Consider the following 14,223-nt stretch of genomic DNA (forward strand, 5'->3'; position numbering starts at 1 on the left):
AGTTATGTACAATAAGTGATTCGATTTGATTTGATAGTATGATTTTTTTGGTTTAATGGTACGATTTGACAGTATGGTTCGATAAGTTTTGACAGATATATACACCTATGAAAACACCACTACAATCAGGATACAGAACATTTTCATCATCCCCAAAAGATTCTTGATGCCCCTTTGCAGTCCAGTCACTCTTGCACGTCCAGCCCCATAGCTGGAATGACTTTTTTTAACATGTAACTCAGACCATGCAAGTCCTCTATTCCATTCCTTTCAATGGATTCCTATCCCTCAAGAAATTAAATCTAAATTTCTTACCATGTCCTTTCAATGCTGTTTGTGTTCTGAATCTTGCCACCTTGTAGCATGTGTTCCTTTATCAATACTATGTTTTAGCCACACTGGCCTCCTTTGTATTCACTAAGCCCTTCAAGCCCTTTACCACCTGTTATTGTTTCTTCTGCTTGGCATCCTCTTCCTCAATTATAATTACATCACTAGCTTGTCACCTTTCAGGTCTCAGCTTAAATGCAACTCCCTCAGAGAAGTCTTCCCTGTCTACCAAAAACGGACTCCCATAATTACTCTTTCTTTCTCAGGGTATCCCTAAGTACCCTGTTTCTTTCCTTCCCAGCCATCATCTCATTTATTTATTTATTTGCATACATACACCATCTGTCTGCAATGCCTGTCTCACTCAGTTGACTGTAGTCTCCATGGTAGAAAGATCATGAATCTTTTGCTTCCCATTGTATCTGTGGTGCCTGCCACCTAGCATTCAATAAATATTTGTTGAATGACTTAATTATGCATAAACATACCTAGAAGAGTGTCTGGCATATAACATGTGTGCAATAAATATTAGTTTCATCTGCCAACCCCTATCTTACTTTCCTCAACATCATAAAGGAAATATTGAAAAACCCATAGCTAACATCATACTCAATGGTAAAAGTTTGGAAGCTTTTCCTTTAAGATCAGGAATAAGGAAGAAATGCCCACTTTTACCACTTCTATTTAACATAATATTGGAAGTTCTGGCCAGAGCAATTAGGCAAAAATAAATAAATAAATAAATAAATAAAAGGCATCCTCATTGGAAAGGAAGGATTAAAATTATCTCTTTCACAGACAACATGATCCTGTATGTAGAAAACACTAAAGATTCCAGAAAAGAAAACTGTTAGAACTAATAAATAAATTCAGCCAAGTTGCAGAACACAAAATCAACACACAAAATATTAGTTGCATTTTGTCAACTAGGAAGGAACAATCCAAAAAGGATATTAAGAAGTAATTCCAACTGGACGCAGTGGCTCATGCCTATAATCCCAGCACTTTGGGAGGCCCGAGGCAGGTGGATCACCTGAGGTCAGGAGTTCAAGACCAGTCTGACCAACATGGAGAAACCCTGTCTCTACTAAAAATACAAAAATTAGCCAGGCGTGGTGGCGCATGCCTGTAATCCCAGCTACTCGGGAGGCTGAGGCACGAGAATTGCTTGAACCTGGGAGGCAGAAGTTGCAGTGAGCCAAGATCGCACCATTGCACTCCAGCCTGGGCAACAAGAGTGAAACTCTGTCTCAAAAAAAAAAAGTAATTCCATTTACAATAGCGTTGAAAAGAATAAAATACTTAAGAATAAATTTAACCAAGAAGTCAAAAGCCTTGTAAATGAAAACTACAAACACTGCTGAAAGAAAACATAAATAAATAGCAAGACATCTGGTTATCATGGATTGGAAGATTTAAGATTAAGATGACAATAATACTCAAAGCTATCTACAGATTCAATGCAATCCTCATCAAAAATCCTAATTGAGGTTTTTTTTCACATAAATAGAAAAACCCATCCTAAACTTCATATGGAATCTCAAGGGACCCCAAATAGTCAAAACACCCTTGAAAAAGAAGGAAAAAAGTCAGAGGACTCACACTTTTTTTTTTTGAGACAGGGCCTTGCACTGTCACCCAGGCTGAAATGCAGTGGTGCAATCATGGCTGACTAAAGCCTCAACCTCCTGTGCTCGAGATCCTCCCACCTAAGCCTCCCTGAGTAGCTAGGACTACAGGTATGTGTCACCATGCTCAGCTAATTTTTAAATTTTTTATAGAGACAGTGGTCTCACTATGTTTCCCAGGCTGGCCTAGAACACCTGGCCTCAAGTAATCCTCCTGCCTCAGCCTCCCAAAGTGCTGGGATTACTTGTGTGAACCACTGCCCAGCTGTCTCACACCTCTGGATCTCAAAACTTACTACAAATCTACAATAATGAAAACAGTATGGTACTGACATAAGGACAGACATATAGATGAATGGAATAGAATAGAGAGCCCAGATATAAACATTCACCTATATAGTCAACATTTTATTTTTGACAAAGGTACAAAGACCATTCAATGGGGGAAAGAAATACCTTTTCAACAAATGGTGGTAGGAAGACTGAATATCTACATTTAAAAGAATGAAGTTGGATCCTTACTCAGCACCGTATACAAAAATTAATTCAAAATGGATCAAATACCTGTACATAAGATCTAAAACTATAAAATTCTTAGAACACATGGGACATTGGATGTGGCATTTGATATGACAACAAAAACACAGGCAACAAAAGAAAAAAATAGATAAATGAGGCTTCAACAAATCAAAAACTTTTGTGCATCAAAGGACACTAACAAAAGAAAAGACAACCCACAGAATGAAAGAAAAGCTTTACAAATCATGTATCTGATAAGGAATTAATATTCAGAATATATAAAGAACTTCTACCATTCAATAACAGAAGAAACAAACAACCCAATTTGAAAATGGGCAAATAACTTGAGTAAAACATTTCTCCAAAGAAGATGTACAGATGGCCAACAATCATATGAAAAGATGCTCAACTTCACTAATTAGAGAAATGCATATTAAAACCACAATGAGAGACCATTTTACACCCATTAGGGATGACATTATTTTTAAAAATGTGAAATAACAAATGTTAGCAAGCATGTGGATAATTGGAACCCTCTTGCATTACTATTGGGAATGTAAAATGGTGCAGCTACTGTGAAAAAACAATTTGATCGTTCTTAAATGTAGAGTTACCATGTGAACTGGCAATTTCACTCCTGAGTATACTGAAAAGCACTGAAAGCAGGGACTCAAACAGATACTTGTACACCAAGGTTCATAGCAGCTTTATTCACAATAGCCAAAATGTGCAAACAACTCAAGTGTCCATCAACACATGAATGAATGAACAAAATGTGGTAAATACATAAAATTGAATATTGTTCAGCCTTAAAAAGAAATTAAATTCTGATGCATGTTATAACATGGATGAACCTTGAAAACATTATGCTAAGTGAAGTAAGCCAGACACAAAAGGACAAACATAGCATAATTTTATTTCTATGAGATACTCAGAATAGGCACATTTGCAGAGATAGAAAATAGAATAGAGGCTACTAGGAGCCAGGGGAAGGGAAAAATTAGGACTTATTATTTAATAGGTGCAGCGTTTCTGTTTGTAGTGATGAAAACATTCTGGAAATTGATAGTGGTGATGGTTGCTTGACATTGTGAATGTATTTAATGCCACCGAATTGTACATTTTTAAATGGTAAGTTTTATGTTATGTATATTACTACATTTAAAATGCAAAAAAAGTAAAGCCAAGATAGCTAACTTGAAAAAATAAAGGGATGGAGAAAGATATACCATGATAACACTAACTAAAGAACGCTGGAATGTCTATATTAATTTCAGAAAAGGAAGTTCAGAGCAAGGAAATATCCAGGATAAAGAGGAGCACTGCATTGATGATAAAGGGGTCAGTTCTCCAAGAACACATAGCAATCTTTAATGCTATGTGTCTAATAACAGACTGTCAAAATACATGATGCAAAAACTGATCAAACTGCATGAGAAATAGACAAATCCACAATTATAGTTGCAGATTTCAACAGACATCTTTCAGTAATTGATAGATCAAGTAGAAAGAAAATTAGTAAGGATATAGTGGAATTGAATGCCCCATCAATCAACTGGATCTAATTGACGTTTATGGAATACTTTATTCAACAACAGCAGAATACACATTCTTCTCAAGCTCACATGGATCATTCGCCAATATAGACCACATCATGAGCCATAAAAAAACACATGAACAATTTTTTTAAATAAAAATTATACAAAGTATGTTCTCAGTACACAGCAGAATTACACTAGAAATCTATAACAGAAAAATAGCTGGAAAATCCCCAAATATTTGGGGATTAAATAACACATTTTTAAATGGCATATAGATCAAATAAATAGTCTCAAAAGAAATTTTAAAAACATTTTGAGATAAAGAAAATAAAAATATAACTTACCAGTTTGTGGGATGCAGGGAAATTCAGAGGAGAATTTATAGCATTAAAAGTGTATATTAGAAAAGAAAGAAACTAAAATTAATAATCTAAGCTTCCAGCTATGAAACTAGAGAAAGTAGAATGATTTAAGCCTAAAGCAACTAGAAAAAAGAAAAAATTAAATCAGAAATCAATGAAATTGAAAACAGGAAAACAATACAGCAAATCAGCAAAACCAAAAACTTGTTCACTTGTTTGTTTGCTTGTTTAAAAAAAGGTAAATAAGATCAATAAACCTCTAGCTAGACTGACTGAGGGAAGAAAAAGAAGGCAAAAAATTCCAATGTGAAAAATGAAAGTGAAGTCATCACTGCTGATCCTATGGACATTCAAAAGATAATAAAGGAATAATATGAACATCCCTATGCTCACAACTTGACAACTTATATGAAATGGAACAATTTCTTGAAAGACACAAACTATTAAACTGACACAAGGAGAAATAGATCATTTGAATAGGCCTATATCTAGCAGAGAAATTGAATTAATCATTCATAACGTTACAAAAAAAATAGTTACAGGCCCAAATAGTTTCACTGGTGAACTCTACCAAACATTTAAAGAAGAAATGCTACAAATTATCTACAATCTCTTCCAGAAAAAAAGATAAAAAATATTCCTTAACTCATACTATGAGGCCAGCATTACCCTAATATGAAAACCTAATACCACTGCCCTAATACCAAAGATAAAGACATTACAAGAAAAGTCAACTACAGAACAATGTCTCTCATGAATACAAATGCAAAAATCCTCTACAAAATAGTATCAAACTGAATCCACAATGTATAAAAACTATACACATGACCAAGTGGGATTTATTTCAAATATGCAAGACTGGTTCAGCATTCAAAAATCAATTAATGTAATCCGCTGCATCAACAGGCTAAGGAAGAAAAATCATATGATCATGTCAACTGATCCAGAAAAAGCATTTCACAAAATTCAAAACCCATTCATGATAAAAAAACAAAACCTCTCAGCAATCTAATGGGGGGAACTTTTACAATTTGATAAAGAACATCTACAAAAAAACCTGCAGCTCACTTCATATTAATGGTGAGTAACAGGATGCTTTCTCCTTAAGATCAGGAACAGAGAAGGATATATCCTTTCATCACTCCTATTCAACATTATACTGGAAATCCCAGTTAGCGCAATAAGAGAAGAAAAGGAAATATAGTATACAAATTGGGAAAGAAAAAATAACACTCTGTTCACAGGTGACATTATAGTCAGTGTAGAAAGTCCCAGAAATTGACCAAAAAACCCCAAACCTCCTAGAACTAATATATACAAATTTCAATTGCTTTTATTTTCAAATTAGAATTTGAAATTAAAAACACAATAACATCTACAATAGCACCCAAAATTTAGATATAAATTTAACATGTATAGGATCTACATGTCAAAAACTAGAAAACTCAGATGAAAGAAATTAAATATGACCTGAATAAATTGAGAGAGGTTCTGTGTTCATGGATTAGAAGGCTTGATATTGTTAAATGTCAATTCTTCCCAATTTAATCTAAAGATTCAATGCAATTCTGATCAAAATCTCAGCAAGTTATTTTCTAGATATCAACAAACTGATTCTAAAGATTATATGGAAAAGCAAAATTCCCAGAATAGCCAACAAAATACTGGAGAAGGAGAATAAAGTTAAAAGATTGACACTATCCAACTTCAAGACTTATTATAAAGCTACAGTAATGGAAACAGTGTGCCACTGGTGAAAGATGGACAAGTAGATCAACGGAACAGAATAGAGACCCCAGAAAACAGACCCACACATATATAGGTAACTGATCTTTGACAAGGAGCAAAGGCAATTCTATATAGAAAGGATAGTTTTTTCAACAAAACATCCATATGCAAAAAATGACTGTAGACACAGACTTTAAACCTTTCACAATAATTAACTCAAAGGGAATCATAGACCTAAACATAAAGTGCAATACTATAAAAGTTCTAGAAGATAACACAAGAGAAAATCCATGTGACCTGGGATTTGGCAATTAGTTTTTAAATAAACACCAAAGTGCAACCCATGAAAGAAAAAATGATAAACTGGACTTTACTAAAATTAAAATTTCTCTGTGACACTGTTTAGAGAATCAAAAGACAAGCTACACTCTGGGAGAAAATATTTGCAAACCACATACGTGATGAAAAAAACTTGTATTCAAAATATACCATGAAGTCTTTAAACTCAACAATGAGAAAACAAATAATTCAATTAAGAAATAGGCAAAAAGATGAACAGATATCCACCTAATCAGATATACAGATATCAAATAAACATATGAAAAGATACTCAACATTATATGTCATTAGGTATTGCAAATTCAAACAACAATGAGATACCACTACACACCTATTAGAAAGATGAAAATTTTGGCCAGGTGCGGCAGCTCACACACCGCTCCTACATGATTTTTTAAAACCATATACATTTAACACATCACTCCTACATGATGTTTTAAAAGCATATACATTAAGTTCACTCTTCGTGCTTCAAGGTTCTGTGGATTTTGACAAATATATACTATCACGGTAATGAACCTGCATGAGCACTCCCTGAACCTAAAGTAAATGTTGCAATTTTTGTAAATGATGCATATGAGCCATAGCAATAAAAAGTATATTTTTAAGTAAAAAAAAAAAAAAAGACAGAAAGAAAGAAATGAAACAATTTCGGCCAGGCGTGGTGGCTCACGCCTGTAATCTCAGCACTTTGGGAGGCCGAGGCAGGCAGATCATGAGGTCAGGAGATTGAGACCATCCTGGTTAACACAGTGAAACCCCGTCTCTACTAAGAAATACAAAAAATTAGCCAGGCATGGTGGCGGGCGCCTGTAGTTCCAGCTACTCAGGAGGCTGAGGCAGGAGAATGGCATGAACCCAGGAGGCGGAGCTTGCAGTGAGCCAAGATCAAGCCACTGCACTCCAGCCTGGGTGACAGAGCGAGACTGTCTCAGAAAAAAAAAAAAAAAAAGCAGAAAGAAATAAATGAAACAATTTCACTGAAAGGAGTGGGGGTAATAGATTCTAAGTACCTTTAGAAATGTGTGGAGTAGGGCCAGGTGCAGTGGCTCATGCCTGTATTCCCAACACTTTGGGAGGCCAAGGCAGGAGGATCGCTTGAGCCCAGGAGTTGTAGACCAGCTGCTGTCTCTATACAAAGCACAAATATTAGCTGGCCATGGTGGCGTGCAACTGTATTCCCAGCTATTTGGGAGGCTGAAGTGGGAAGGTCACCTGAGTCCAGGAGGTCAAGGCCACACTGAGCCATGAACATGCCACTGCACTCCAGCCTGGGCAACAGAGTGAGACCCTGAAAAAGATGAAAGAAAGAGAAAAAAAGAGAGAGAGAGAGAGAGGGAGGGAAGGAAGGAAGGAAGGAAGGAAGGAAGGAAGGAAGGAAGGAAGGAAGGAAGGAAGGAAAGGGGAAGGGGAAGGAAGGAAGGAAAGAAGGGAAGGAAGGAAGGACTGAGAAAAGAAAAGAGTGGAGTTTGTAAGATTAACACAAAGAACTGCACATAAGCACTGTAATCTAGTTGATAAAGTCTGATTCCCATGGGGATATGTGTTAGCCATTCTGATATTGTTATGCATGTATACTGAAATTAAACAATTGACTAAATAGCAGATAGTGGGAACCAGTGTTTCTTACTGTTCTGTTGGTATGGGAATTCATAGATAAACAAGAAGAGGAGACTAAAATGATCCATGTGGTAATGGATTAGAGTTGGAGGCATCAGTATGAGCCCAGATTTAACTTAATACAGATATAAATGGTTATGTATATAAGTGATTATAGATAGGAGCATATACATGGGTTAGTATACGTACATATTTCTTTGCTCTGTCAGCTGAGAGAGCCTAGAAGCAATGACACCCCTGGAGCAAAAAGCACACCAAGTATCCAGATCTTAGTTTACAATATCATTCTTCAATTAGAAAAATGAGGGCTCCTTGGAGAAATGGCTGATTCTAGGACTGGGGCAGGAAACATACAAGTTGAGTTTGGCATCTTGCAGTGCTAGAAACAAGGATGTGCTAACGGACACACACACACACATACACACACACATACACACACCACACACACATTGATGAGGGGTATGTCAAAAGAGCACAGGAGCCAACTGAAAGAGCTCCCAATGGCCAAAGCTAGAACAATTTGAGCACAAGCTATAGTATTGGATTATAACCCAAAGTATAAAATGAGTATCCATGAGTCCATAGTGATATAAATGACTGAATAAATTAATAAACTGAGGAGAAGAAACAAATCTCCTGTGCAGAAGAGTTCCAAATAACTTATGTGGACATTCTGCCCTCAAGGAGGGGGGTGCATACCACCCCACTCCTTAGGTGAGGGTTGCACATAGTGACTTTCTTCCAAAGAGTACAGCATGGGAAGGGAAAAAAAAAAGAGAGAGAAAGAGAGGATAACTTTACAGTAGAGAAACCTGACAAACACTACCTAAGCAAGGTCAATAACAACAGACATAAATCGTGTTGATAGTATGTATTCTTGATATGATGTAATGAAAACAGCACTTCAACTCTGCTCTCTTTCTCCTAATAATCCATAACCCCATTCTTACATTATCTCTTGCCTGAGAAAAGCATCAGACCAATTTCAGTCATGAGGAATCCTACAAAATACCCAACCAGTACTCCAAAATTGTAAAGGAAAGTGTGAGAAACTACTACAGCCAAGAGGAACATAACGAGACACGACGACTACATGTAACCTGGTATCCTGAATGGGATACTGGGACAGAAAAAGGACATTAGATAAAAACTAACGAAATCTGAAAAAACCATGTGCTTTAATTAATAATGATGTACAAGTACTGGTTCATTAACTTTAACAGACGTACCATACTCATGTAATATGTTAATAATAAGAGAAACTTGGTGTAGAATATATGGGAAATCTCTGTAACATCTCAAATTTTCTGTAAATCTTAAACTGTTCTAAAAACCAAAGCCTATCTTAAAATATTTGGTAACTCAAAAGATGACAAAGTCCATCTCATTATGGTTCTTATTTGCATTTCTCTGATTAAAGGTGATATTGAACAGCTTTTTATAGGTTTACTGTCCATGCATACTTTTCTTTACTGATTTTCCTGTTTAAGTCCTTTGCCCTCTTTCCATTGAAGTATTTGTGTTTTTGTTAATACGTTGTAAGATGAAGGAAATTAACCTTTGTCTGTCACGTGTACTCTTTCTCAATTTGTCCTTTGTCTTTCAATATTATGACATTTTCTGCTTTACAGAATTTTTTCATTTTTACGTAGTCAAACCTGTCAATCTTCCTCTTATGGCTTATGCATTTCATATATGCTTGAAAAGGCTGCTGCTACACTGGAATTATAAAAACGTTCACTCATATTTCCTTCTACTGGTTCATGGTTTTATTGTTTTCACATTTTGTATTATTATTTTTTTAATTTTTTAAATTTTATTATTATTATACTTTAAGTTTTAGGTTACATGTGCACAACGTGCAGGTTTGTTACATATGTATACATGTGCCATGTTGGTGTGCTGTGCTGCACCCATTAACTCGTCATTTAGCATTAGGTATATCTCCTAATGCTATCCCTCCCCCCTCCCCCCACCCCACAACAGGCCCCGGTGTGTGATGTTCCCCTTCCTGTGTCCATGTGTTCTCATTGTTCAATTCCCACCTATGAGTAAGAACATGCGGTGTTTGGTTTTTTGTCTTTGCGATAGTTTGCTGAGAATGATGGTTTCCAGCTTCATCCATGTCCCTACAAAGAACATGAACTCATCATTTTCTATGGCTGCATAGTATTCCATGGTGTATATGTGCCACATTTTCTTAATCCAGTCTATCATTGTTGGACATTTGGGTTGGTTCCAAGTCTTTGCTATTGTGAATAGTGCCACAATAAACATACGTGTGCATGTGTCTGTATAGCAGCATGATTTATAATCCTTTGAGTATATACCCAGTAATGGGATGGCTGGGTCAAATGGTATTTCTAGTTCTAGATCCCTGAGGAATCACCACACTGACTTCCACAATGGTTGAACTAGTTTACAGTCCCACCAACAGTGTAAAAATGTTCCTATTTCTCCACATCCTCTCCAGCACCTGTTGTTTCCTGACTTTTTAATGATCGCCATTCTAACTGGTGTGAGATGGTATCTCATTGTGGTTTTGATTTGCATTTCTCTGATGGCCAGTGATGGTGAGCATTTTTTCATGTGTCTTTTGGCTGCATAAATGTCTTCTTTTGAAAAGTGTCTACAGACACTCCAGTGAGAATGGCGATCATTAAAAAGTCAGGAAACAACAGATGCTGGAGAGGATGTGGAGAAATAGGAACACTTTTACACTGTTGGTGGGACTGTAAACTAATTCAACCATTGTGGAAGTCAGTGTGGCGATTCCTCAGGGATCTAGAACTAGAAATACCATTTGACCCAGCCATCCCATTACTGGGTATATACCCAAAGGACTATAAATCATGTTGCTATAAAGACACATGCACACGTATGTTTACTGCGGCACTATTCACAATAGCAAAGACTTGGAACCAACCCAAATGTCCAACAATGACAGACTGGATTAAGAAAATGTGGCACATATACACCATGGAATACTATGCAGCCATAAAAAATGATGAGTTCAGGTCCTTTGTAGGGACATGGATGAAATTGGAAATCATCATTCTCAGTAAACTATCACAAGGACAAAAAACCAAACACTGCATGTTCTCACTCATAGATGGGAATTGCACAATAAGAACACATGGACACAGGAAGGGGAACATCACACTCTGGGGACTGTTATGGGGTGGGGGGTGGGGAGAGGGATAGCATTAGGAGATATACCTAATGCTAAATGACAAGTTAATGGGTGCAGCACACCAGCATGGCACATGTATACATATGTAACTAACCTGCACATTGTGCACATGTACCCTAAAACTTAAAGTATAATAATAATAATAATAATAAAAGAAAAGTGTCTGTTCATATCCTTTGCCCACTTTTTGATGGGGTTGTTTGATTTTTTTCTTGTAAATTTGTTTGAGTTCTTTGTAGATTCTGGTTATTAGCCCTTTGTCAGATGGGTAGACTGCAAAAATTTTCTCCCATTCTGTAGGTTGCCTGTTCACTCTGATGGTAGTTTCTTTTGCTGTGCAGAAACTCTTTAGTTTAATTATATCCCATTTGACTATTTTGGCTTTTGTTGCCATTGCTTTTGGTGTTTTAGTCATGAAGTCTTTGCCCATGCCTATGTCCTGAATGGTATTGCCTAGGTTTTCTTCTAGGGTTTTTATGGTGTTAGGTCTTACATTTAAGTCTTTAATCCATTTTGAGTTAATTTTTATATACAGTGTAAGGAAGGGATCCAGTTTCAGCTTTCTACACATGGCTAGCCAGTTTTCCCAGCACCATTTATTAAATAGGGAATCCTTTCCGCATTGCTTGTTTTTGTCAGGTTTGTCAAAGATCAGATGGTTATAGATGTGTGGTGTTATTTCTGAGGCCTCTGTTCTGTTCCATTGGTCTATATCTCTGTTTTGGTACCAGTACCATGCTGTTTTGGTTACTGTAGTATAGTCTGAAGTCAGGTAGCGTGATGCCTCCAGCTTTGTTCTTTTTCCTTAGGATTGCCTTGGCTATGCGGGCTCTTTTTTGGTTCCATATGAAATTTAAAGTAGTTTTTTCCAATTCTTTGAAGAAAGTCAGTGGTAGCTTGATGGGGATGGCATTGAATCTATAAATTACCTTGGACAATATGGCCATTTTCACAGTATTGATTCTTCCTATCCATGAGCATGGAATGTTCTTCCATTTGTTTGTGTCCTCTTTTATTTCGTTGAGTAGTGGTTTGTAGTTCTCCTCGAAGAGGTCCTTCACAGCCCTTGTAAGTTGGATTCCTAGGTATTTTATTCTCTTTGTGGTAATTATGAATGGGAGTCCACTCATGATTTGGCTCTCTGTTTGTCTCTTAATGGTGTATAGGGATGCTTGTGATTTTTGCACATTGATTTTGTATCCTGAGACTTTGCTGAAGTTGCTTACCAGCTTAAGGAGATTTTGGGCTGAGATGATAGAGTTTTCTAAATATACAATCATGTCATCTGCAAACAGGGACAATTTGACTTCCTCTTTTCCTAATTGAATACCATTTATTTCTTTCTCTTGCCTGATTGCCCTAGCCAGAACTTCCAACACTATGTTGAATAGGAGTGTTGAGAGAAGGCATCCTTGTTTTGTGCCGGTTTTCAAAGGGAATGCTTCCAGTTTTTGCCCATTCAGTATGATATTGGCTGTGGATTTGTCATAAATAGCTCTTATTATTTTGAGATATGTTCCATCAATACCTAGTTTATTGAGAGTTTTTAGCATGGAGGGCTGTGTGGCATCATCCTGATACCAAAGCCTGGCAGAGACACAACAAAAAAAAAAGAGAATTTTAGGCCAATATCCCTGATGAACATCCATGCGAAAATCCTCAATAAAATACTGGCAAACCGAATCCAGCAGCACATCAAAAAGCTTATCCACCACGATCAAGTTTGCTTCATCCCTGGGATACAAGCCTGGTTCAACATATGCAAATCAATAAACGTAATCCATCACATAAACAGAACCAATGACAAAAAACACATGATTATCTCAATAGGTGCAGAAAAGACCTTCGGTAGTGGCCAGTTATTACTCATTAGCATTTTTGAGATAAGCTCTCAAGTCTGCCCTTTCTGCCTTCTTGATGCCAGTGAAAATCATTTTTGTTCCAGGAATGCACTTCTTGTGATTCTCCAAATACTCCATCAGTGTACCCTCTCCCCAGTTGATGCCTCTGTTCTTATTGGCATCTGTGTAACAGAATTCAACAGCCTGACCTGTCTTCCACCCAAAGAGGTCATGGAGGTCTGGCCCAGGCTTGTGCTTGACTTCCTTTTCCACAGTGTGTCACTGGGCACACTTTTGAGCAAAAATCTTCTTGCCTTTCTCAACATCACCCACATTTAATTCTCTCTTTTATTGCTGGCACTATGAAGGTTCCCGCTGGGAAGCCAGACGTCCTGCCCTCTCTCTGACATACTATTCATTTAGTCATATCATCTACTTTAATGCTTTATATTTACCTTGATTTTTATCTTTTTTTTTCTTTTTCTGTTTTTTTTACAAGTACTTTAGTTTTTGTTTTTCTGTTTTTCCTTTTACTGTTTTATGTTTTATGCTTTTGCTATTCTTCAAAAACTTTTAAATTTACAATAGACAAATAATAAAATTAAAAAATTATAATCTACAATTGACACATAATTGCACATATTTATAGGTTGCAATGTGATGTTTAAATGCATATATACATAGTATAATGATGAAACTGGTAATTACCATATCCATCACTTTAAACGTATTTATCATTTCTGATAAATATGTGACAACATTCAAAATCTTCTCTTCTGGCTATCTTTTTAATTTTTTTTTTTTTTTTTTTTTTTGAGACGGAGTCTCTCTCAGTCGCCCAGGCTGGAGTGCAGTGGGAAGATCTCGGCTCACTGCAAGCTCCGCCTCCCAGGTTCACGCCATTCTCCTGCCTCAGCCTCCCGAGTAGCTGGGACTACAAGCGCCCGCCACTGCGCCCAGCTAATTGTTTTGTATTTTTAGTAGAGACGGGGTTTCACCGTGTTAGCCAGGATGGTCTCAATCTCCTGACCTCCTGATCCGCCCGTCTCGGCCTCCCAAAGTGCTGGGATTACAGGCGTGAGCCACCGCGCCCAGCCTCTTTTTAATTTTTAATTTTAATTT

At 36.8% G+C, this 14,223-nt stretch overlaps 1 pseudogene; it reads right to left on the reverse strand.

Moving 5' to 3' along the window:
* CYCSP43 (CYCS pseudogene 43) lies at window positions 13,108-13,504 on the reverse strand (annotated as a pseudogene).

The sequence above is a fragment of the Homo sapiens genome, chromosome X (assembly GCF_000001405.40).
Source record: "Homo sapiens chromosome X, GRCh38.p14 Primary Assembly".
Lineage (NCBI taxonomy): Eukaryota > Metazoa > Chordata > Mammalia > Primates > Hominidae > Homo > Homo sapiens.